At 41.8% G+C, this 27,325-nt stretch overlaps 1 protein-coding gene and 1 pseudogene across 13 annotated transcripts in view; both read right to left on the bottom strand.

The window, feature by feature from the left end:
* The window catches only part of MIPOL1 (mirror-image polydactyly 1), a 354,425-nt gene extending 339,037 nt beyond the window's left edge, over positions 1-15,388 (bottom strand). For 12 of the 13 annotated variants that reach the window (NM_001195297.2, NM_138731.7, NM_001388068.1 and 9 more), the window contains exon 1: positions 15,221-15,388. The gene's annotated coding sequence lies outside the window, so the exon portion shown is untranslated. Of the gene's footprint in view, positions 1-968; positions 1,096-15,220 lie in introns of all 13 variants that reach the window. The other variant, NM_001195296.2, reaches the window with a different exon arrangement.
* Positions 26,011-26,106, bottom strand: RNU6-273P (RNA, U6 small nuclear 273, pseudogene; annotated as a pseudogene).

Raw genomic sequence — 27,325 nt, 5'->3', positions numbered from 1 at the left:
GTGTTATCTTGAATTTCTTTGAGTGGCCTCAACACAGCTATTTTGAATTCTCTGTCTGAAAGGTCTCATATCTCTGTTTCTCCAGGATTGGTCTCTGCTTCCTTACTTAGTTTATTTGATGAGGTCATGTCTTCCTGAATAGTGTACATGTATATTTTCTTTGGTATCTGGGCATTGAAGAGTTAGGTATTTATTGTAGTCTTCACTGTCTGGGTTTATTGTAGCTGTCCTTCTTGGGAAGGCTTTCCAGACATCTGAAAGGACTCAGGTGTGACCTAAGCTATATCTGCTTTAGAGGGAACCCCAAGACTAGTAATGCTGTGGTTCTTGCAGACTCACATAGGTACAACCTTGATAATCTTGGACAAGATCTGGAAGAATTCTCTGAAATACCAGGCAGAGATTCTTATTCTCTTCCCTTACTTTCTCCCAAACACACAGAATCTCTCTCTCTCTGTTCTATGACACGTAAATCTGGGGGTAAAGTGACATAAGTATCCCTGTGGCCACCACCACTATGACTATGTAGGGTCTGACCTGAAGCCAGCACAGCATTAGATCTCGCCCAAAGCCTGCTGTAGTAACTCCCTGGCTACAGCCTACGTTCGCTCAAGACCCTTGAACTCTACAGTCAGCAGGAGGCAAAGCAAGCCAGGCCTATGTCCTTCCCTTCAGGGTGGTGAGGTCCCCCAGGCCCCAGGTGGGTCCTGAAGTGCCATACAAGAGTCAGGGAGTAGAGTAAAAAATGCGGCAAGTCTACCAGGTGTTCTATTGTACTATGAGTGAGCTGGAACTCAAAGCACAAGACTCAGTCCTTCCCTCCCCTTTCCAAAGGCAGAGGCGCCTTACCCCGTAGCCACTGCCACCCCAGGCCATGAGGAGTACCACCAGACTACCGTCAATCTTCCCTTACAGCCCAAGTTCTCTTAAGTTAGCTTGTCATGAATGCTTTCTGGGTTGTGACTCACCCTTAAGGGAAGTGGTCTCCTCTCTGGCCCAGAGCAGGTCCAGAAATGTCATCCAAGAGTCAAGTTCTGGAATCAGGGACTCCAAGAGCCCACTTAGTGTTCTACCCACCGGTGGCAATGCTGGTATCTAAGGTACAAAACAAAGTCCATCCTCTTTACTTTTCCAACTACTTTTCTCAGACAGAAAGAGTTTTGCGTCATAGCCATCACAGCTGGTAATGTGCTGAGTCTTACCTAAAGCCAGCAAATCTCAGAGGCTCACCCAACACCCTTGATGTAGTACCTGGGTATCACTGTTGATTATGCAGGGCCCAAGGGCTCTTCAGTTAACAAGTGATGAATGCTGCCAGAAATGGGTCCTTTCCTTCAAGGCAGTGAGTTCCCTTCTGGCCCTGGGTGTGTTTACAAATGTCATCTGGGAGCTAGGACGTGGAGTGGGGCTCACAACTCTGACTGGTGCCCTATTCTGCTGTGGCTGAGCTGATATCCTCGATGCAAGATAAAGTCCTCCCCACTCGTCCCTCTCCTCAAGCAGAAGGAAAGGGTCTCTTTTGGAACTGGGAGCTACGCAGCCTGGGGTTAGGTGAGGGGTGATGCCAGCACTCCATTGGTTGCCCCAGCTGGTGTCTCAGTATGTCACATGCCCCCCAACCACAGTCCACTGTTTCTGGGCCTAGTTTAGCACTAGAACTCTCCTAAGAGTTGCAGTCCTTATGGCCTAGACTACCTTTCAAGTTTATATGGAGACATAGAGTGCTGCAGACCTCAGTGGCAAGGTTTGAAGGCACTCAGATTTGGACCACTGGGATCAGCAATTCCCCTCCGGCTAGGGCTGCTTTAAATGTTCCCTCCGTGGGTGGGCATCAGCTGAGTCTGGTCTGCTTTTCCTTTCTGCCCTAACAGGACAGTACTGAGTTCAATGTTTCACAATTGTTGTGTTTTCTCTCCCCCAGTTCCCAGAGAAACTCTCTGCACTATGCCACCCCTGCTGGGAGTGGGGAAGCAGTGGCAGTGACTTAGGATTGTTTTTCGATCTCTTCAGTACCTCTTTCAGCAATATGAAGTTAAAACCAGGTACTATGTGTGCTCACTTGATTTTTGGCTCTCGTGAAAGTGTTTTTTTTCTGTGTAGATAGTTAACTTGGTGTCCTTGTCTGGGGGGTGGGGGGGTGGGCAGTGGAGCTTTCTATTCCATCATCTTGCTCTGCCTCCTCATCTCCTATGCTTGTTTTCATCTTTATCCTTTGTAACATCTGAAACTGCCTTTGCAAAGATTATGACAGTGAAGGAAATCAAGCATGGCTGACTCCATCTTGCTTCTAGCTTCTCAGGCTGGCTGTACTCACCTTTCCTCGGTGTAGGCCAAGATAATCATAGGAGAAATTTAGTTTATAGTTTAATTTTGAAGCAGGGATGATAATACTACCTGCCTAAAATGAAACCCTACTTATTCAGGTACCAACACCACTTTTGTAAAACTAATGAAAGGCCACAAAATTAGGATTATAGGAGAGACCTAAATTCTGCTACAATGTAGCTGTAGTCAAATGATAACCAGACATTGCCCTCTCGCTTGCCTTTCTATAATCCCTTGCTGTCAGCAATCATGTGGCCAGAGGTCACAAGGTTTGTGACTTTCCCTATTGCTCCTTTAGATGACTCAACCAGTCCTGTGGCCCCCACTGAGAGGCCAATTCAGCACACACATTCTCCATATCCCTATTTCATCACGTGTCAGCAAAACTCATTCTCTAGCCCCCTGCCCGCCTAATCTTCAAGCCTTCGAGGAGACTGATTAGAGGAATCCCGCGAGTCCATCTACTTGGCTAGTTCTGCATTGATAAACCTCTCTACTGCAACAGCATAGTCTCAGTGAATTGGCTTTGACTGTGCAGTGAACAGGAAGAACCCAATGGGCGATTAAACATCCTTTATAAATAACCACTAAATGACTTTCCCTGAGTTCTGTGAGCCGCTCCAGCAATTTAATCAAAACTAAAGAGAAGGTAATGGGAACGCTAACTTGTGACTGGTGTCAAAAGGGATGAGCCATTAAAAAAAAAAGTGGGGCAATGGGGCAGTCTTGGGGAGTGGGCACCCAACCTGTGGGTTCTGACACTATCTCCAAGTACACAGTGTCAGAATTGAATTGGGGGATATCCAGTTGGTGTCCACTGCTTGTTGGTGGGGAAAAACTCCCTGACATTTAGTCACAGAAATCTTCCACATTGATTAGTGTGCTGTGAGAGAAGAGGGAAACACAGTTTGAGCGTTTTTCAAAAACACATACATACAAGATATTATTAAATTAAAGAGGGAAGCTACAAAATAATAGAGCATATCCATCTGGCAGGGTGCAGTGGCTCACACCAGTAATCAGTACTTTGAGAGTCCAAGGTGGGAGGATCGCTTAAGGAGCAGAGTTTAAGACTAGTCTGGGCAACACAGGGGGACCTCATGTCTACCAAAAAAAAAAAAAAGTTAAAAATTAGCCAGGTGTGGTGGCACACTTGTAGTCCCAGCTACCTGGGAGGCTGAGGTGGGAGGATTGCTTGAGCCCAGGAGGTCAAGGCTGCAGTGAGCCATGTTTGCACCACTGTACTCCAGCCTGGGCAACAGAGTGAAACTCTGTCTCAAATAAGCAAATAAACGAAAACCATGTGTATATATTATCTAATTTCTTTTCTTTTCTGTTTTGAGATGGAGTCTTGCTCTGTCACCCAGGATGGAGTACAGTGACGTGATCTCAGCTCACTGCAACCTCCGCCTCCTGGGTTCAAGCGATTCTCCTGCCTCAGTCTACTGAGTAGCTGGGATTACAGGCGAGCGCCACCATGCCCAGGTAATTTTTGTATTTTTTAGTAGAGACGGGGTTTCACCATGTTGGCCAGGCTGGTCTCAATCTCCTGACCTCAGGTGATCCTCCTGCCTCGGCCTCCCAAAGTGCTGGGATTACATGGGTGAGCCACCATGCCCAGCCTTATGTTATATAATTTCTAAAATAACAAAAGGTTAAGAAAAAAGGCAATAATAAAAAATACAAAGGGATGAAATGACACAATTGCCAAATGCTCCAACTGGAAGACAGAGATGTCCCACTGGATTTTTAAAAATCCAAATCTATGCACAGATTAATCAAAAGAAAGCTGACATAGCTATATCAAAATAGAAAGAAGTCACAAATAGGAAAAGACACTGGAAACATAACAACTAAATATAACATCAGCTCTGGATTAGTTCCTAGAATAGGAAAAGAACATTTACAGAAAATCTAGTGATATGTAGATAAAGTTTACAGTTTAATAAGTAGTATTATTAATTAAATTATATTTTGTAATTTTATTCAACTTATTCAAATTTATGCAATATTTAGTGAATTACTCAGTGAAACCACAATATTAGTGTTCTGGTTTTGATCACTGCACTATGATTTTGCATAATGATAACGCCAGAAGTAGAGTGACAAGGCCAGGCACAGTGGCTCATGCCTGTAATCCCACCACTTTGGGAGGCTGAGGTGGGAAGATCACTTGACAACAGGAGTTTGAGACCAGCCTGGCCAACATGGTGAATCCCCATCTCTACTAATACAAAAATTAGCCGGGCATGGTGGAATGCACCTGTAATCCCAGCTACGCAGGAGGCTGAGGCAGGAGAATCACTTGAACCCAGGGGGCAGAGGTTGCAGTGAGCCAAGACTGTGCCACTGCACTGTAGCCTGGGTGACATAGTGAGACCCTGTCTCAAAAAAATTAAAAAACAACAATATTTTGATGGTGGCTACATGGGTGCTCACTTTTTATTCATTCATTAAACTGTCCATGTATGTTTTATATACTTTTCATGTATTACTTGCTATGTTTTCTAAAAGTTAATTGATCTATACTATCTACATTAATTGATCTATGTTTTCTAAAAGTTAATTTCTCTATATTATTTATTTATATTTTCATTTATTTTTTCTGCTTTCCAAAACTTGTTACTCAGCAGTAAAATCCTCAAAACTATGAAGCTAGGAAACTGGTATGCTTCAATAGACAATAAAATAATATACAGCATTAAGGATTCCAGTAAAACGATTCTTCTTGTACTCAAGCAGCTTCCGAAACTTATAAAACCACACATATTGAAAGTCATTCTCCAAGTACTATTTATACATAATCAAACCATCCTAACACAGAACTGCAAATTCATAACAAGAATAGATTACCTGACTATATGCATCCAAAACAGTATAAAATCTAAATTAAAAATGCTTTCAATGCAGCCAATATCTGAATCAGAGATGCTCATGCCAACAGCCTAAAGCAGATCTAAGGTAAACATGTCTTATTGGTCATCTACTATAAAAAAACACCAAATCAATCCTTCAAAGTTATAATTTCTTTACGTTGCCAGCTTAGAAATAAAACAAACACCTAGCAATTAAATTATAACCAAAAACAAGTATGGGATTTATAGTTAAAACTGTTAATAATTGGTTTTTCAAGATATAAAAATAGCATGCCCTCAGCCTGGCATGGTGGCTCACACCTGTAATCCCAGCACTTTGGGGGGCTGAGGTGGGTAGATCACCTGAGGTCAGGAGTTCAAGACCAGCCTGGCCAATGTGGTAAAACCCCATCTCTACTAAAAATACAAAAATTAGCCAGGCATGATGGCACGTGCCTGTAATCCCAGCTACTCGGGAGGCTGAAGCACAAGAATCGCATGAACCTGGGAGGCAGAGGTTGCAGTGAGCCAAGATCGTGCCACTGCACTCCAGCCTGAGCAACAGAGAGAGACTCCATCTCAAAAAATAATAATAATAATAATAATAATATCATATCCTCAAATAAGTTTAAACTGATAAAAACAGATTAAAGCTTTTCTGATATTAATGAATAGTGTAGTTGTCTATTGCTACCTATATTAGTCTGTTTTCACACTGCTGATGAAAACATACCCAAGACTAGGCAATTTGCAAAAGAAAGAGGTTTAATAGACTCACAGTTCCACATGGATCGAGAGGCCTCACAATCATCATGGAAGGTAAAAGGCACATTTCACATGGTGGTGGCAGGAGAGAATGAAAGCCAAGCGAAAGGGTTCTATAAAACCATCAGAACTCACCTGGACTTATTCACTACCAGGAGAACAGTATGGGGGAACTGCCCCCATGATTCAAGTATCTCCCACTGGGTCCCTTCCACCACATGAGGGAATTACGGGAGCTACAATTCAAGATGAGATTTGAGTGGGAATACAGCCAAACCATATCATTCCGCCCCTGGTTCCTCCCAAATCTCATGTCCTAACATTTCAAAACCAATCATGTCTTCCCAACAATCCCCCAAAGTCTTAACTCATTTCAGCATTAACTCAAAAGTCCACAGCCCTAAGTCTCATCCAAGACAAGGCAAGTCTTTTCCACCTGTGAGCCTGCAAAATCAAAAGCAAGTTAGTTCCTAGATACAATGGGGGTACAGGCATTGGGTAAATACAGCCATTCCAAATGGGAGAAATTGGCCAAAATGAAGGGGCCATAGGCCCAATGCAAGTCCAAAATCCAGCAGGACAGTCAAATCTTAAGGCTCCAAAATTATCTCCTTTGACTCCATGTCTCACATGCAGGTCACACTGATGCAAGAGGTGGGTTCCTACATCTTGGGCAGCTCTGCCCCTGTGGCTTTGCAGGGTACAGCCTCCCTCCCAGCTGCTTTCACGTATCAGTGTTGAGTGTCTGAGGCTTTTCCAGGAGCATGGTGCAAGCTGTCAGTGGATCTACCATTCTGGGGTCTGGAGGATGGTGGCCCCCTTCTCACAGTTCCACTAGGCAGTGCTCCAGTAGGGACTTTGTGTGGGGGATCCAATCCCACATTTCCCTTATGCACTGCCCTACCAGAAGTTCTCCATGAGGGCCCCATCCCTGTAGCAAACTTCTGCCTGGATATCCAGGCATTTCCATATATCCTCTTAAATCTAGGCGAAGATTTGCAAACCCCAGTTCTTGACTTCGGTGCACTCACAGGCTCAACATCACATGGAAGCTTCCAAGGCTTCGGGCCTGCGCACTCTGAAGCCATGGCCTGAGCTCTACATTGGCCCCTTTCAGCCAAGGCTGGCGTGTCTGGGACACAGGGTACCAAGTCCTTGGACATAGCATGGGGACCCTAAGCTTGGTCCATGAAACCATTTTTTCCTCCTAGGCCTTTGGGCCTATGATGGGAGGGGCTGCCATGAAGACCTCTGACATACCCTGGGGACATTTTCCCCATTGTCTTGGGGATGAACATTTGGCTCCTTGTTACTTAGGCAAATTTCTGCAGCTGGCTTGAATTTCTCCTCAGAAAATGGGTTTTTCTTTTCAATTGCAGGGTCAGGCTGCAAATTTTCTGAACTTTTATGCTCTGCTTCCCTTATAAAACCGAATGTGTTTCAGGCACATGTATGTTTATATGGTACTATTCACAACAGCAAAGACTTGGAATCAACCCAAATGTCCAACAATGACAGACTGGATTAAGACAATGTGGCACATTTACACCATGGAATACTATGCAGCCATAAAAAAGCATGAGATCATGTCCTTTGCAGGGACATGGATGAAGCTGGAAACCATCATTCTGAGCAAACTATCACAAGGACAGAAAACCAAACACCGCAAGTTCTCACTCATAGGTGGGAACTGAACAATGAGATCACTTGGACACAGGGTAGGCAACATCACACACCAGGGCCTGTTGGGGGATGGGGAGCTGGCGGGGGACAGCATTTGGAGAAACACCCAATGTAAATGATGAGTTGATGGATGCAGCAAACCAACATGGCACATGTATATACCTATGTATCAAACCTGCACTTTGTGTACATGTACCCTAGAACTTAAGGTATTAAAAAAAAAAAACTGAATGTGTTTTAACAGCAGCCATGTCACCTCTTGAAAGCTTTGTTGCTTAAAAATTTCTTCCACTGGCTGGGTGCAGTGGCTTATACCTGTAATCCCTGCACTTTGGGAGGCCGAGGTGGGTGGATCACCTGAGGTCAGGAGTTCCAGACCAGCCTGGCCAACATGATGAAATCCTGTCTCTACTAAAAATACAAAAAATTAGCTGGGCGTGGTAGTGCATGCCTGTAATCCCAGCTACTCAGGAGGCTGAAGCAGGAGAATCACTTGAACCCAGAGGTGGAGGTTGCAGTGAACTGAGATCGTGTCACTGCACCCCAGCCTGGACAATAAAAGCAAAACTCCGTCTCAAAAAAAAAAACAAAAAACTTATTCCATCAGATATCTTAAATCATCTCTCTCAAGTTCAAAGTTCGACAAATCTCTGGGGCAGGAGCAAAATGCCGCCAGTCTCTTTGCTTTTGCTACAGTTCTCAACAAGTTCCTCATTTCTATCTGAGACCACCTCAGCCTAGATTTTATTGTCCATATCACTATCAGCATTTTGGGCAAAGCCATTCAATAAGTCTCCAGGAAGTTCCAAACTTTCCCACATTTTCCTGTCTTCTTCTGAGCCCTCCAAACTATTCCAGCCTCTGCTTGTTACCCAGTTTCAAAGTCACTTCCACATTTTCAGGTATCTTTTCAGCAGCACCCCACTCTACTGTATTAGTCCATTTACTGTGTTAGTCTGTTTACTGTGTTAGTCCGTTTTCACGCTGCTAATAAAGACATACTTGAGACCAGGCAATTTACAAAAGAAAGAGGTTTAATGGGCTCGCAGTTCCACGTGGCTTGGGAGGCCTCACAATCATCGTGAAAGGTGAAAGGCACATCTCACATGGCGGCAGCAAAAAAGAATGAAAGCCAAGCAAAAGGGGTTTCCCCTTATAAAACCATCACATCTCATGGACTTATTCACTACCATGAGAACGGTATGAGAGAAACCACCCATGATTCAATTATCTCCCACTGGATCCCTCCCACAACATGAAGGAATTATGGCAGCTACAATTCAAGATGAGATTTGCGTGGGGACACAGGCAAACTATATCACTACTTAACACATTAAACCCAAATTCAACAGCTTAAAACAATACACATTTGCAATCTCACTACTTAACACATTAAACCCAAATTCAACAGCTTAAAACAATACACATTTGCAATCTCACAGTTGCTAAAAATCAGAAATTGAGTGTTGCTTGGCTAAGTCCTCCAGCCCAGGGTCTCTCAAAAGGCTGGAATCGAAGTGTCAGCCAGGGGTGCAGTCATCTCAATGTTCAACAGGGAGAGGATCTGCTTCCAAACTCTCTCGGTGGTCGTTGGCAGGATTAATATCCCTGAGGGGGCTGGGCGCAGTGGCTCACGTCTGTAATCCCAGCACTTTGAGAGGCCAAGGTGGGCGGACCACGTGGTCAGGAGATCAAGACCATCCTGGCTAACGTGGTGAAACCCTGTCGCTACTAAAAATATAAAAAATTAGCTGGGCGTGGTGGCATGTGCCTGCAGTCCCAGCTACTTGGGAGGCTGAGGCAGGAGAATTGCTTGAACCCGGGAGGCGGAGGTTGCAGTGAGCCAAGATCGCACCACTGCTTTCCAGCCTGGGCGGCAGAGTGAGACTTCATCTCAAATAAATAAATAAACAAATGCCTGAGGTTTTTTAGACTGAGAACCTCAGTTCCTTACTGGCTGGAGGTCCCCTTCAGTTCCTTGACAGGTGGGCCTTTTCACAGGTCAGTTCACAACATGACAGCTGACTTCCTCAAGGTGAGTGAGCAACAGAGTGCCAGCAAAAAGGGAAGTCATAGATTTTGTAATCTAATCTGAGAAGTGACATCACACCATTTTTGCCATATTCTAGTAGAAGTGAGCCTCTAGGTCTAGTTCACCCTCAAGAGGAAGGAACTACACAAGAGTGAATACCAAGGTCATTTTAGAAGGCTCCCTATCACAGGTAGTATAATGGAAAAAGCAACTGGAATAAAAACCAGAACAAAAATAGGTTCTAGTAACTATGTGACTAAACTGAGAAGGTAGCCTAAATGACCCCTACGGTCTCTTGGCAGTCTTTTGAAAAAGATTACCAGAGATTAGAGATACTTCATCAAAAGGCCTCATTTCACAAAAGAAAGCTGAGTTCCAGGAAAAGTTAAAACAAACAGGTAGTGAGCCACACTTATTTTGCTCTTATGCCCAGTGCTCTTTCCACTATAGTAAACTGTTTTTGTAATTAATGCTCTAAAACAGTTCTATCTTCTCTTTATGATAGTCTCAAAATCTAATAAATTCAATAGAGAGAATAATAATACAATGCTGACAAAAGCAGCTACAATTGATTAATCTTGTGCATTATCTCTTTTTCTCTCATCAACCCTAAAGCCATCTCTAGATGGTACGTGAAGTTGCAAGTGGAAGTGAGTCATCTGCCCATCCCCAGTCCCAGGTAGCTGGACGTACTAGTAATAAGATTTGCTGGAAATAAATTATAAAAGCAACAAATAAGCAATAGACAAATACATTCACCTTGAACACACAGTCACCCTAAATATGGTAAACAAGATTAAATGTAACCTAAATAAAGTATCTAAAAACTGCAACCAGAAAAGGCAAGGTTTGTTAGTAATGAAATCCTGGAAAATTGTCCCAGAAGTCAACAATGGCAATGTAGTGCAGGCAATATGCAGGGGAGAAGGTACGGTCAGAAGCTAATGACTACAATTGGACTCACAAATACATCCTTACTAATATGAAAGCATCACCTAAGGATGATCGTACAAATTAAATATTTGTGCCACATAAATTCCCTATTTGCTCCCTTATGAAGTCTGAAGCCCTGGAGGGAGGGGACTCCCTTGTCTGAGAATCCCTCCTACTGGCACATGCCCTTTATTACCCATAATAATTTGTAGTGACTCCAAGCTGATTCAAGGAGTGCCATGAAAAACACGCATATGAACACAATTGCTTTGTGTGGGACTTATAAAGCAGGAAGGTATTTACATTAGTCATTGTGTGTGTGTTTGTGTGTGTGTGTGTGTGTGTGTAATGAAATGCAGTATGTACTGGATCCAGAATTTCTATATGAGAAAAGCTTACTTAACTGCAATGAATTGATAGTGGAAGGTGAGGCCCCTCTTAAATCTATCTGCATAACAATCAAGTAAGACTAAAAAAAACAATTATACATATCAAAGAAGGATCACACTGATGAAATTACCCTCACACCCTTCATTAGTATTAGCATATATCTAAATGTGCACTAAATTCACTTCTATAAATTACTTAAAAACAAGAAATGGGCTGGTGCAGTGGCTAATGCCTGTAATCCTGGCACTTTGGGAGGTCGAGGCAGGAGGACCTGAGGCCAGGGGTTGGATACTAGACCGGACAACAAAGGTAGACTCTGTCTCAACAAAAACAGAAAACAAAATAGCTAGGTGTGATGTTGAGCACCTGCAGTCCTATCTACTTGGGAGGTTGCAGCAGGGAAGACAGCTTGACCCCAGGTCAAGGTTACAGTGAGCTATGATTGCACCACTGTACTCCAGCCTGAGTGACAGAGCAAGATCCTGTTTCTAAAAGCAACAACAAGAACAACAACAAATACCTAGAAAGTGTTAGCTAAAAATGTTAACATGGATGGTGGGCTGAATGGTATTAAAGTAAAATTTTGGGCAATACTGAGCAAAAGGCAGGGGGCCAAGAGTAAAAGATGAACTGGGCAGCCCAAAGAGACATTTAAGGAAGAAAGGGCCTCCATCCTGGGAAGAGGTGTCACAGTTGAGCTTCACGGCCCAAGTCAATGGCTATTACGTCCTATATCATGAGTGTACTCAATCACTAGATAAAAATGTCAGAAAACCCAAGATGGAACAGCTCAAAGGACAAAATGCACCTTAAAATATTACAATAACTATATTATATATTTTTACATATTTTTACTCAAAATATCCAGAACTGTCTAGACATTCATCCTTTTCTTTCCTAGCCTTTTAAATAATATCAAAGAAAGACTGTCTCTTCTTTCTTTTCTCACTTCTTACCTGTCTTTTGTTCTTCAGATTTACAGGGTGAGAAGAAAGTGGGAGAAGTAAAAACAATTCAGACAAGAATCAAACTGGCCTCTAATTAGTCTTAAGGTAAAACTGGTAAACCAAATAAAGTATGTTTAGAGATCTGAAATCCAACACCAAAACACTATAACACATGCTGCTTTACAATACTGGCCAGGTGTGGTGGCTTGTGCCTGTAATCCCAGCATTTAGGGAGGCTGGGGAAGGAGGATCACTTGAGCTCAGGAGTTTAAAACCAGCCTGGGCAACATGGCAAAACCCCATCTCCACAAAAAAATATTAAAATTAGCCTGGGCATGTTGGTGTGTGCCTGTAACCCTAGCTACTTGGGAAGCCGAGGTGAGAGGATCACTTCAGCCCAGGAGGCAGAGGCTGCAGTGAACCGAGATCACCCCACTGCACTCCAGCCTGGGTGACAGAGGTACACCTTGTCTCAAAAAAAAAAAAAAAAAAAATACACACACACACACACACACACACACACACACACACACACACACACACATAGATAGATATAGTATTATGGATCTATATTTCTCTAATATAGCCCATCTCAGTTACTGATTTCACATCCAACCAATTGGCAAAAAATTGAACAAACATTTTTCAATAGAGCAGGGGTTAGTACGCTATGGCCCACAACTCAAATCCAGCCAGAGGACTGTGTTAAAAAAAAAAAAAAAAAAAAAAACTAACTGGGAAACCATTAGGTTGAGACAGCTCCAGCACTTTGGGTTCCTATGTAAACAAACCAAAACCCAACTCAATGTAAACAGTAAAACTAAACTTGAGTTTAATCAATCAGAAACCACCAAACAACTTCTAACTAGAGACATTCCACTGTTACCAATCAAATATTTTCTGTTTCCATAAACACCTTATAAAAGTTTTCCCCTCACACCCTCTTGGTGGAGTCTTGAATAACTTGTGGTCTGGTGATACCCAATTTATGAAATTGCTGAATGCTCATATAAACTCTAAAATTTCCATGTGCCTAAAGTTATCTTTTAACAACTGTTTTTGTATAACCCATGAGCTAAGAATTGTTTTTACATATTTAAAGGGTTGGGAACAAAGTAAAGAGGAAAAAAACAGAAAAGAATGTGTAACAGAGACTGTACAGCCTGTACAACCTAAAATACAGGTAGTCCGAGCTTCACACATTACTTGGTTAGCTGAAACTCTACAAAGCGAGGGCTGCCTACACTTATTGTCTGGTCCCTTACAGAAATAGAGGATATCCAAATGCCAGTAAACACATGAATATGTGTTCAATACCATCAGTCATTAGGGAAATTATGGGAAAACCCCAATGTTATGTCACTATATTCCTACTAGAATGGCTAAAATGAAAAAGACAGTGTGAAATGTTGCAAGCATTTGGAGGAACCAGAATTCTCAAGCTGCCACTGAAGTATAAATTGACACAATATGAAAAACTTTTCAGTAGTGTATACCACAAACACACATCTGCCTATCCTGTAACACAGTAATTTTCTAGTAGGCATATACGCAATAAAAATGTACATATGGCCAGGCGCGATGGTTCACACCTGTAATCCCAGCACTCTGGGATGCTGAGGCAGGTGGATCAGCTGAGGTCAGGAGTTTGAGACCAGCCTGACCAACAAGGTGAAACCCCGTCTTTACTAAAAATACAAAACTTAGCCAGGCGTGGTGGTAGGCACCTGTAGTCCCAGCTACTCGGGAGGCTGAGACAGGAGAATTGCTTGATCCCGGGAGGCGGAGGTTGCAGTAAGCCGAGATCGCGCCACTGCACTCCAGCCTTGGCGGCAGAGCGAGACTCCATCTCAAAAAAAAGAAGAAAAAAAAAAGTATACATAATTTCATCAAAATATTTCTAAAAATCTTTATAGCAGCCCTATTGGTAATAGCCAAAAACTAGAAATACTATACATACAGCATGAGAATAACAAACTGCTACATAACTTGAATAAATCTCACAAATAAAATATTGAGCAAAAATCAGAAACTAAGGACTAAATACCATATTACTCCATTTATATAAAGTAAATAATAGGTGAAATTCATTGATAATGTTGGAAGTCCAGATAATGATTACCTTTGGAACCATGAAGTGGGGCTTCCGGGATGCAATAATGCTCTTTCCTGATCTAGATACTGGATACATGGGTATTTACACTTTGTGAAAATTCACCGAGCTGTACACTTACGATTCATGCACTTTTCTGTATGTCTTTATACTTTAAATATTAACGCAATAAAAATATCTCTATAAACTCTACTCCTTTGAAGGAAAATTGTATACATCTCCCATTCATTTTGCTGATTGCCATCATTACCTCCCATCAATGACATGTCTTGATTCCTATTCCTCACATTAAAAATTAAACTGTTTTAATTAATTTTATTGGCATACGATTGCATAGAATGATTATGTAATTGTCATTTTAGATGAACTCCATACCAGATCACAAGGAAAAACTTTGAAACGCCAATAATTTGTGATAGTATATTCAAGTTATCTGGGGAAGAAAAGAACACCTCCTTGAAATGTAGTTTTGTTTGGCCCTTTGTTTTGGCTTATTTCTATCTACTACCACTGTGATTTAACCTGCATAAAATGCTCAAAGGAGCTTTTCCAAACGCGTGTGTTTGTGGAAAGTTGTTCCTTTCTACCATCCTTGTCTAATAATGCGGCTGTCTTGTTCCCTCCATCCATAGAGCTTAAAATGCTTCCCAAACGTTGCACCAGGTCCAGGGACATTGTGAATCAAAAAAGAAAAAAAAAAATTCTAACAGTATCTTTTTACAGCATGGCTTAGCGCGCTTAAAGAAGCCCCTCATTCTTCGCCCACACTTCCACGTGTGAGAAATGAAATATAAAACGACTCTCTCATGGGCACAGAGTCGATCAGAGGTTGAGCGAGGACTGGAACCTTCTGACTAACCGCGACTTAAGGGGAAAAAAACAAAAAAAATACACCCTTGAATAAATGCTCAGCTGCTCAGGTCCAGTATTAGGAAACTGGAGACAATACCAAAACCATACCCAGAAAGAGCTGTCTGCCACCTGAGGACCCCACGACACTGACCTTCGAGAGAGCCCCATCACTCCCGGCCACGCGGGGTCAGCATTCACTAAGTACAGATTCCGCGGGGCCCCTTCTCCTTCTCCAAGGAAAAGTCTGCGGCCGAAAACTCCAGGGCTGATCTGTGCCCACCACTATCATTCTCCGTCGCCCAAACCTCCCTGCCCAACCGTTTACCTGAGATGCGCCTGGCATAGACCGGGGAGTCGACACTGCGCGCTTGCCGAGTTTCTCAGGCCGAGTGCGCAGCCACCGCGTCAGCCAATCGCCACTGGCTCAGAGCCTCCTGGCTCGAGACTCACCCACAGACGATCCGGCGGAGGAGCGGGGCGGCGCGTGGGGCCTACGGGGCGGCGGCGCGCCGCAGGGGAGAGCGCAAGCGGCGAGCACCGGGCATGCGCGTGCCGCGCTGCCGGGCCGCGAGGCGGGGCCTCCAGGAGAAAGAGAGAGCTTGGGAAGAAGGCCCGGGAGGAGTTTGGAGAGAAAGTAGTCGAACTTAGTCTGCTGCGGTGGTTGCCCTAACGGGATGCTTATGGTTGTCGAATCCAAGACGACGAGCGCAGAACGCTCTTTCTCTTCTGAAAGAGCAAAACGTTGTCTGGACAAAACCTAATAGGATTAGAAGAGGGAGAACGCGGAACTAAAAACGGTGTCTTGTGGCCTCATACTTGGCCTCGTCGAGTTTTCCCAAGACCTGTCGAAATTGTGCTTTCCTTCTTTGTGTGTGGTTTGGGATGAGAGGTGGGAGGGACGTGTTTCGAAGCGGCGGTCAAGTGAAAATGGCACCAGATCGGGCTCCGGTTGAGTGAGCAAAAGTACTATCTAGATCCTGGCCAAAGAACGTTTCACACTAAAACCTTGGAGCTGGTGACTTTTTTTTTTTTTTTTTTTTTTGACTGAAGTGCTGGATGAGATTACGATATGTGAATCCTCTAAGAAAAAATGTTAAACCTTACAGAATTTAAAAATGTCCAAAGTTTTCAATTGGCCTACCTCCGTGAACTAAGAATGGTATAATTAACTGCTAGTAATTTAAATTTGGGTTTTTTGTTCCATAGTTCAGAATTGGTTTTATAAATGTCACTTTAACTCCTGTTACTCATGATTCCTTCAGACACCAAATACTTAGTGACCACATACCATGTGCCAGGTACTCTTCTGGGTGCTGAGTAATAAGCAATAATATTTTTTAATACACCCCAGAGAATAGGCATAATATGAGGTGCTGACGGGTTCCTAAATTTGTGGTTAAAGTTAATGAAAGGAACTTATCCTTTAGTAAGTGTACAAAAGAGAGTTTAAAAAACTGAAAAAGGCCGGGCGCGGTGGCTTACGCCTGTAGTCCCAACACTTTGGAAGGCTGAGGCAGTGGGATCGCTTGAGCCCAGGAGTTCGAGACCAGCCTGGACAACATGGCGAGACCTTGACTTTATTAAAAATCAAAAAAATTAGCTGGGCATGATGGTGCATACCCGTAGTCCCAGCTACTAGGGAGGATGAGGTGGGAGAATCGCTTGAGCCCCAGAGGTGGAGACTGAAATAAGCTACGATGGCTGGCGCCACTGCACCCCAGCCTGGGGGACAGAGCATGACGCTGTGAAAACTAACAAAATGGAAAAGTTGGACGTAGATTAACTTGGAACAACAGAGGTTATAATATTCACCAAATTTTCGTTATGTATGCTGTAATGAACAGTGTTCTCAAGAAGTTTGTTACAGATTCAGCTTTGAAATGCTTTTTTCTTTTTTGCTTTACTTCAGTCAGGATTTGAATCATATTTATGAACATAAAGTACCATAAAAATCTATGAGACAAAAACAAAGAGTGTACAGTTTATCAGAGCAAATACTCCAATCAGGAAGTATATAGCTTGTGCAAAGGCTTAGGGCCAAATCAAATTATGTGTAAAACAAAGGAAAAAGTTGATTTTCCTGGCTAGGAAATAATAAATAAAACAGGATAGTGACTACCACAATGAGAACATTCAAACCATGTAATGAATTAGTAGAATAAATTTAGAGAAAAATTATAATATTTTTCATTGAGTAAAGTTCATTTCCTCCTTTTTTTAAAGCCCATTATCTGGGTGCTTACAGTCTCTGGCATAAAGAGAAACCTCATATTTTCTTTCCTTTTAGTAAGCTGATTTTCTCTCTCTCTCTCTCTGTTTTATGCAGTGAGTTCAAACATTAGGACTAATTCTCCCTATTCTTTTTCCTTTTTCCCTAACATACCTGAAGTAACTCATTAATGTTCTTTCCCTAAACTTTTGATACCACAACAGGTAAGTTTTCCCCTACTCCCCTCCACCACCACCATAACCAACATATCCATTTCTTCATTTTCTATTGTTCTAACAGTTGCCTGTCTATAAGAAATGAAAGAGATAAATTAGAGCTTTTTTCTTTTCTCAAAATGATTATCAAAGATATTGTCTATGTCCTCATACCTCATACAAGCTGGACTTTTACAGAAATATGGATGAAGATGAGAAGAAGAAAATGAACCACTCTTTCGTTACAGGGAGAAAAAGAATGTCATATTATTAATATTATCAAGTCTGTTAATGTCAGATCATTAATATTCTCAAGTCTATAAATATTAGGCTTCTGCAGTGTGTCACACACTGATCAGTTCTGCAAATAAAATAATGAATAACAATTAGGCACACAAGTAGCTGAGAATACCATATGTATTAATCAGGGTTCTCCAGAGAAACAGAACAAACAGGATATGTGTGTATACACAGAGACTACATAGAGAGAGGGACAGTGATTTATTGTAAGGAAATGGCTCATGCAGTTGTGGACTTTTAGTGAGTCCAAAATCTGAGGGAAGAGGCGGGCAAGCCTCAGAAAAGAATTGTAGTTGGACATACATGGAATGTAATCTGTTGTATTCAAAGTCTGGTGATTTAAATGGTAATCTCATCAAAAAAACACCTTCACAGAAGCATCCAGGATAACGTTTCACCAAATATCTGTGCACCATGGCCCAGCCAAGTTGACAAAATTAACCATCACACTGTGTAAACTGAGAAATGGCTTTGGGAGAGGGGAGTTCAGGGGATGAGGAAGACAGAGTCAGGAAAATCTGAAGGAGATAATGCCTCCTGTAGTATGAATAAGACTTAGCAAGGTGAAGAGGTGAGGGTGGAGGTGCAGAGAAAACAGAATTCCTTATAAAGGAATCAATATGGGAGTGAGATACTGTAAGGAGCTATAAGCAATTTAATATCACAGTATAAAATTTAACATGGAAAGTGGTGGGAAATGAAGTTGGAGAGATTATGAAAGGTCTTTTTTAAAAATAGAGTTGGGGACTCACTATGTTGCTGGGGCTGGTATCAAAGTCCTGGCCTCAAGCAGTCCTCCCACTTTGGCCTCCCAAAGTGCTCGGATTACATGCATGAGTCACCATGCCAGGCAATATAAATGATCTCCTAATTAAGTACCTTGGACTTGATTCTATAGTCAATGAATTTTGAAAGTTAAAACAGGAGTGATGAGATTAGATTTACACTTTCATTCATCAATTTAGAAATACGTTTCAGAATCAAAATTCTCAAGTTTGCAAGACTAGTTAATCTAATTGAAAAACGATAAAAAGGCTGGGCTCTGTGGCTCATGCCTGTAACCCCAGCACTTTGGGAGGCTGAGGTGGGTGGATCACTTGAGGCTAGGAGTTGGAGACCACCCTATCCAACATGGTGGGACCTCCCCCCACCGTCTCTACTAAAAATACAAAAAATAGCCAGGCATGGTGGCACATGTCTGTAATCCCAGCTACTCAGGAAGCTGAAGCATGAGAATCACTTGAACCAGGAGGTGGAGGTTGCAGTGAGCTGAGATTGTACCACTGCACTCTAGCCTGGGTGACAGAGTTAGACCCTGTCTCAAAAAATAAATAAATAAATAAATAAATAATAAAATGTATGTGGTAAAGCACGATAGATGGAAAAGGGTAGCTTGAAGAAGTAGGAAATAGTTTGCAAAATCTGGTAAATAACTAGTTGAGAAAGAGGAAAGTGTTGATGGTATTAAAGAAATTGGTGAATAAGTAAGTTCAGTTTTGATAGAATGAGTTTGAATTGCTAGGGAAGCATCTTAGAGTAGCTTTCCAGCAGTCATATGCAAGGAAGCATTCTAGACTGGGCTAGACATGAGATTAATGAACATAGATATGATGGATAAAGCTATTTTTTAAATTTTCAAGTCAGTCTCATAGCACTTTGCTTGACTACAGTAATCCTTTTAAAGGATATGAGGATCCTTTAGCTACTACCTGTCTAAAGGATCATGATTCATTTTTTAATAGGCTTTTTTCATACACTTTAAGTTCTAGGGTACATGTGCACAACGTACAGATTGGTTACATCGGTATACATGTGCCATGTTGGTTTGCTGCACCCATCAACTTGTCATTAATATTAGGTATTTCTCCTAATGCTATCCCTCCCCCAGCCCCCCCCCACCCAACAGGCCCGGGTGTGTGATATTCCCCTCCCTGCGTCCATGTATTCTCATTGTTCAATTCCCACTTATGAGTGAAAACATGTGGTGTTTGGTTTTCTGTCCTTGTGATATTTTGCTGAGAACGATGGTTTCCAGCTTCATCCATGTCCCTACAAAGGACATGAACTCATCATTTTTTATGACTGCATAGTTTTCCATGGTGTACATGTGCCACAGTTTCTTAATCTGGTCTATCATTGATGGACATTTGGGTTGGTTCCAAGTCTTTGCTATTGTGAATAGTACCGCAATAAACATACTTGTGCATGTGTCTTTATAGTAGCATGATTTATAATCCTTTGGGTATATACCCAGTAATGAGATTGCTGGGTCAAATGGTATTTCTAGTTCTAGGTCCTTGAGGAATCGCCCACACTGTCTTCCACAATGGTTGAGCTAATTTACACTCCCACCAACAGTGTGAAAGCATTCCTATTTCTCCACATCCTCTCCAGCATCTGTTGTTTCCTGACTTTTTAATGATCACCATTCTAACTGGTGTGGGATGGTATCTCATTGTGGTTTTGATTTGCATTTCTCTGATGACCAGTGATGATGAGCATTTTTTCATATGTCTGTTGGCTGCATAAATGTCTTATTTTGAGAAGTGTCTCTTCATATCCTTTGCCAACTTTTTGAGGGGGTTGTTAGTTTTTTTCTTGTAAATGTGTTTAAGTTCTTTGTAGATTCTGGATATTAGCCATTTGTCAGATGGATAGATTGAAAAAAATTTTTCCTATTCTGTAGGTTGCCTATTCACTCTGATGATAGTTTCTTTTGCTGTGCAGAAGCTGTTTAGTTTAATTAGATCCCATATGTCTATTTTGGCTTTCATTGCCATTGCTTTTGGTGTTTTAGTCATGAAGTATTTGTCCATGCCTATGTCCTGAATGGTAATGCCTAGGTTTTCTTCTAGGGTTTTTATGCTTTTAGGTCTTACATTTAAGTCTTTAATCCATCTTGAGTTAATTTTTGTATAAGGTGTAAGGAAGGGATCCAGTTTCAGCATTCTACATATGGCTAGCCAGTTTTCCCAGCACCATTTATTAAATAGGGAATCCTTTTCCCATTGCTGATTTTCGTCAGGTTTGTCAAAGACTAGATGGCTGTAGATGTGTGGTATTATTTCTGAGGCCTCTATTCTGTTCCACTGGTCTCTATATCTGTTTTGGTACCAGTACCATGCTATTTTCATTACAGTAGCCTCGTAGTATAGTTTGAAGTCAGGTAGCATGATGCCTCCAGCTTTGTTCTTTTTGCTTAGGATTGCCTTGGCTATGCGGGCTCTTTTTTGGTTACATATAAAATTTAAAGTAGATTTTTCCAATTCTGTAAAGAAAGTCAGTGGTCGCTTGATGGGGATAGCATTGAATCTATCAACTACGTTGGGCAGTATGGCCATTTTCACAATATTGATTCTTCCTATTCATGAACACGGAATGTTCTTCCATTGTTTGTGTCCTCTTTTATTTCGTTGAGCAGTGGTTTGTAGTTCTCCTTGAAGGAGTCCTTGACATCCCTTGTAAGTTGGATTCCTTGGTATTTTATTCTCTTTGTAGTAATCCTGAATGAGCGTTCACTCATGATTTGGCTCTCTGTTTGTCTGTTCTTGGTGTGTAGGAATGCTTGTGATTTTTGAACATTGATTTTGTATCCTGAGACTTTCCTGAAGTTGCTTATCAGCTTAAGGAGATTTTGGGCTGAGATGATGGGGTTTTCTAAATATATAATCATGTCATCTGCAAACAGAGACAATTTGACTTCCTCTTTTCCTAATTCAATATCCTTTATTTCTTTCTCTTGCCTGATTTCCCTGGCCAGAACTTCCAACACTATGTTGAATAGGAGTGGTGAGAGAGGGCATCCCTGTCTTGTGCCTGTTTTCAAAGGGAATGCTTCCAGTTTTTGCCCGTTCAGTATGATATTGGCTGTGGGTCTGTCATAAATAGCTCTTATTATTTTGAGATACGTTCCATCAATACCTAGTTTATTGAGGGTTTTTACCATGAAGGGCTGGTTGAATTTTGTCAGAGGCCTTTTCTGCATCTATTGAGATAATCATGTGGTTTTTGTCTTTGGTTCTGTTTATGTGATGGATTACATTTATTGATTTGCATATGTTGAACCAGCCTTCCATCCCAGGGATGAAGCCCACTTGATCGTGGTGGATAAGCTTTTTGATGTGCTGCTGGATTCAGTTTGCCAATATTTTATTGAGGATTTTCACATAGATGTTCATCATGGATATTGGCCTAAAATTCTCTTTTTTTGTTGTGTCTCTGCCAGGCTTTTGGTATCAGGATGATTCTGGCCTCATAAAATGAGTTAGGGAGGATTCCCTCTTTTTCTATTGATTGGAATAGTTTCAGAAGGAATGGTACCAGCTCCTCTTTGTACCACTGGTAGAATTCAGCTGTGATTCCATCTGGTCCTGGACTTTTTTTGGTTGGTAGGCTATTAATTATTGCCTCAATTTCAGAGCCTGTTATTGGTCTATTCAGAGATTCAACTTCTTCCTGGTTTAGTCTTGGGAGGGTGTATGTGTCCAGGAATTTACCCATTTCTTCTAGATTTTCTAGTTTATTAGCATAGAGGTGTTTAGAGTATTTTCTGATGGTAGTTTGTATTTCTGTGGAATCGGTGCTGATATCACCTTTATGATTTTTTTATTGTGTCTATTTGATTCTTCTCTCTTTTTTTCTTTATTAATCTTGCTAGCAGTCTATCAATTTTGTTGATCTTTTCAAAAAAACCAGCTCTTGAATTCATCGATTTTTTTGAAGGGTTTTTTTGTGTTTGTGTGTGTCTCTATCTCCTTCAGTTCTGCTCTGATCTTAGTTATTTCTTGTCTTCTGGTAGCTTTTGAATTTGTTTTCTCTTGCTTCTCTAGTTCTTTTAATTGTGATGCCGGGGTATAAACTTTAGATCTTTCCTGCTTTCTTGTGGGCATTTAGTGCTATACATTTCCATCTACTCACTGCTTTAAATGTGTCCCAGGGATTCTGGTATGTTGTGTCTTTGTTCTCATTGGTTTCAAAGAACATCTTTATTTCTACCTTTATTTCGTTATTTACCCAGTAGTCATTCAGGAGCAGGTTGTTCAGTTTTCATGTAGTTGTGCGGTTTTGAGTGAGTTTCTTAATCCTGAGTTCTAATTTGATTGCACTGTGGTCTGAGAGACAGTTTGTTGTGATTGCTGTTCTTTTACATTTGCTGAGGAGTGTTTTAGTTCCACTTATGTTGTCAATTTTAGAATAAGTGTGATGTGGTGCTGAGAAGAATGTATATTGTGTTGATTTGGGATGGAGAGTTCTGTAGATGTCTACTAGGTCTGCTTGGCCCAGAGCTGAGTTCAAGTCCTGGATATCCTTGTTAATTTTCTGTCTCCTTGATCTGTCTAACATTGACGGTGGGTTGTTAAAGTCTCCCATTATTATTGTGTGGGAGTCTAAGTCTCTTTTTAGATCTCTAAGAACTTGCTTTATGAATTTGGGTGCTCCTGTTTTGGGTGTATATATATTTAGGATAGTTAGCTCTTGTTGTTGAATTGATCACTTTACCGTTATGTAATGGCCTTGTCCCTTTTGATCTTTTTTGGTTTAAAGTCTGTTTTATCAGAGACCAGGACTGCAACCCCTGCTTTTTTTTTTTTTCTTTCCATTTACTTGGTAGGTCTTCCTCCATCCCTTTATTTTGAGCCTATATGTGTCTTTGGACATGAGATGGGTCTCCTGAATACAGCACACCAATGGGTCTTGACTGTTTATCCAATTTGCCAGTCTGTGTCTTTTAATTGGGGTATTTAGCCCATTTATATTTAAGGTTAATATTGTTATGTGTGAATTTGATCCTGTTGTTATGATGTTAGCTGGTTATTTCACCCATTAATTGATGCAGTTTCTTCTTAGCATCGATGGTCTTTACAGCTTGGCATGTTTTTGCTGTGGCTGGTACCGATTGTTCCTTTCCATGTTTAGTGCTTCCTTCAGGAGCTCTTGTAAGGCAGGCTTGGTGGTAACAAAATCTCTCAGCATTTGCTTGTCTGTAAAGGATTTTATTTCTCCTTCACTTATGAAGCTTAGTTTGGCTGGATATGAAACTCTGGGTTGAAAATTCTTTTCTTTAAGAATGTTGAATATTGTATTGGTCCCCACTCTCTTTTGGCTTGTAGGGTTTCTGCCGAGAGATCTGCTGTTAGTCTGATGGGCTTCCCTTTGTGGGTAACCTGACCTTTTTCTCTGGCTGCCCTTAACTTTTTTTCCTTCATTTCAACCTTGGTGAATCTGATGATTATGTGTCTTGGGATTGCTCTTCTCGAGGAGTATCTTTGTGGCATTCTCTGTATTTCCTGAATTTGAATGTTGGCCTGCCTTGCTAGGTTGGGGAAGTTCTCCTGGATAATATCCTGAAGAGTGTCTTCTAACTTGGTTCCACTCTTCTCGTCATTTTCAGGTACACCAATCAAACGTAGATTTGGTCTTTTCACATAGTCCCATATTTCTTGGAGGCTTTGTTCATTTCTTTTCACTCTTTTTTCTCTAAACTTCTCATCTAGCTTCATTTCATTCATTTGATCTTCAATCACTGATATCCTTTCTTCTGCTTGATCGAATTGGTTATTGAAGCTTCTGTATGCTTCACAAAGTTCTCATACTGTGGTTTTCAGTCCATCAGGTCATTTAAGCTCTTCTCTACACTGATTATTCTAGTTAGTCATTCATCTAACCTTTTTTCAAGGTTTTTAGCTTCCTTGTGATGGGTTAGAACATGCTCCTTTAGCTCAGAGAAGTTTGTTATTACTGACCTTCTGAAGCCTGCTTCTGTCAACTCATGAAACTCATTCTCCATCCGGTTTGTGTTCCTTGCTGTCGAGGAGTTGTGATCCTTTGGAGGAGAAGAGGTGTTCTGGTTTTTGGAATTTTCAGACTTTCTGCTCTGGTTTCTCCCCATCTTTGTGGTTTTGTCTACCTTTGGTCTTTCATGTTGGTGACCTACAGATGGGGTTTTGGTGTGGGTGTCCTTTTTGTTGATGTTGATGCTATTCCTTTCTGTTTGTTAGTTTTCCTTCTAACAGACAGGCCCCTCAGCTGCAGGTCTGTTGGGGTTTGCTGAGGCTTGGCCTACTCAGCAAGATCCACTCAAGACCCTGTTTGCCTGGGTATCACAGCAGAGGCTGCAGAATAGCAAATATTGCTGTCTGATCCTTCCTCTGGAAGCTTCGTCCCAGAGGGGCACCCGTCTGTATGAGGTGTCTGTCGGCCCCTACTGGGAGGTGTCTCCCAGTCAAGCTACATGCGGGTCAGGGACCCACTTGAGGAGGCAGTCTGTCCGTTTTCAGAGCTCAAACACCATGCTGGGAGAACCACTGCTCTCTTCAGAGCTGTCAGGCAGGGACGTTTAAGTCTGCAGAAGCTCTCTGCTGCCTTTTGTTCAGATATGTCCTGCCCCCAGAGGTGGAATCTAGAGAGGCAGTAGGCCTTGCTGAGCTGCAGTGGGCTCCACCCAGTTCAAGCTTCCCTGCCGCTTTGTTTACACTGTGAGCATAGAACTGCCTACTCAAGCCTCAGCAATGGTGGACATCCCTACCCCCACCAAGATCCAGCATCCCAGGTCTGTCTCAGACTGCTGCACTAGCAGCAAGCAGGGTTCCGTGGGTGTGGGACCCACTAAGCCAGGCATGGGAGGGAATCTTCTGGTCTGCCAGTTGCAAAGACCATGGGAAAAGCACAGTATTTGGGCAGAAGTGTACCATTCCTCCAGGTACAGTCACTCACAGCTTCCCTTGGCTAGGAAAGGGAAATCCCCCAACCCCTTGCACTTCCCAGGTGAGACGATGCCCCATCCTCCTTTGGTTAACCCTCTGTGGGATGCACCCACTGTCCAACCAGTCCCAATGAGATGAACCAGGTACCTCAGTTGGAAATGCAGAAATCACCCATCTTCTGTGTCAATCTCGCTCAAACCTGCAGACCAGATCTGTTCCTCTTCGGCCATCTTGAAAGCGACTCCAATAGGCTTTTTTTTTTTTTTTAAAGCAGCTTTAGCTTTAAAGAAAGGTGAGGCTGGACACAGTGGCTCATGCCTGTAATCCAATCGTTTTGGAAGGCCAAGTTAGGAGGATCACTTGAACCCAGGAATTGGAGACCAGTCTGGGCAACATAGTGAGACCATGTCTCTATAAGAAAAAAAAAAAAAAAAAGCCAGGCATGGTGGCTCATATCTGTAGTCCCAGCTGCTTGGGAGCCGGAGAGGGGAGGATCAGTACAAGCCTGGGAATTCGAGGTTGCAGTGAGCTATGGTCACAGCACTGTGCTCTAGCCTTGGCAACAGAATGAGACCCTGTCTCTAAAGAAAAAGAAAGAAAAGTGATCAGATAGTACAGAAGTTATCTTATATCATGTCATCCCCAGAGTTTCCCTTATTATTTTTTGTTTTATTTTTAAATTTATTTTTTTAATATGGAACACTTCACAAATTTGTGTCATGCTTGTGCAGGGGCCTAATCTTCTCTGTATTGTTCCAATTTTATGTGCTTTAGACCCTTGCATTAGTGTTTGTTACAAATGATGAACCAATATGGATACATTATTAACTAAAGTCTGTATTTACATTGTGGCTTGTTCTTGGTGTTGTACAGTTTTATAGAGTTTGCCAACAGCACTCTGTCATGTATTTACTATTACAGTATCATACAGAATAGTTTCACTGTCCTAAAAATCCCTTGTGTTCATCTATTCATCTCTCACTCTCCCACACCCCTCTGGCAACCACTCTTTTTTTTTCTTGTACTGTCTGTATAGCTTTTGCCTTTTCCTGAATGTCATAGTTGGCATCGTACAGCATACAGCTTTCTTAGATTGGCTTCTTTTACTAAGCAATATGTATTTAAGTTTCCTCCATATCTTCTCAAGACTTGATAGTTCATGTTTGTTTATTTATTTATTTATTTATTATATTTTATTTTATTTTTGCTAGAGACAGGGTCTCACTGTATTGCCCAGGCTGCTCTTAAACTCATGGGCTCAAGAAATGCTCCCACCTTAGTCTCCCAAGGTGCTGGGATTCCATTGCTCCCAGCAGCTCCTATCTTTTTATGGCTGAACAGTATTTGCTTATTCATTCACCTTTTTTTTTCTTTTCTTTTCCTCTGTGGTTTTTTTTTTTTTTTTTTTTTTTTTTAGACAGGGTCTCACTCTGTCATCTAGGCTGGAGTGCAGTGGCACAATCTCGGCTCACTGCAGCCTCGACCTCCTGGACTCAAGCAATTCTCCTGTCTCAGTGCCCCTGAGTAGTTGAGACTACAGGTGTATGCCACCACACCAGGCTAAATTTTTGTATGTTTTGGAGAGACACGGTTTTGCCATGTTGCCCAGGCTGGTCTTGAACTCCTGAGCTCAAGTAATTCATCCCCTTCAGCCTCCCAAAATGTTTAGATTACAGATGTGGGCCACTGCACCCGGCCTCCATTCACCTATTGAAAGACTTCTTGGTTGCTTCCAAGTTTTGGCAATTACGAATAAAGCTGCTAGAGACATCTATGTATTTTTATGTGTGTGTAAATATATGTTTTGTATTTGTGTAAATATAAGTTTTCAACTCATTTGGGTGAATACCAAGGAATGCAATTGCTGGATTATATGTTAATAGCATGTTTGGTTTTGTAAGAAACTGCCATACTGTATTCCAGAGTGGAGGTAGTATTTTGCATTCCCCCCAGCAATGATTGAGAGTTCTTGTTTCTCCACATCCTCACCAGCATTTGTTGTC

This window comes from Homo sapiens, chromosome 14, assembly GCF_000001405.40.
Source record: "Homo sapiens chromosome 14, GRCh38.p14 Primary Assembly".
In the NCBI taxonomy this organism is placed as follows: Eukaryota; Metazoa; Chordata; class Mammalia; order Primates; family Hominidae; genus Homo; species Homo sapiens.
The sequence above is the reverse complement of the archived record's forward strand: the minus strand, read 5'-3'. Positions and strand labels throughout refer to the sequence as shown.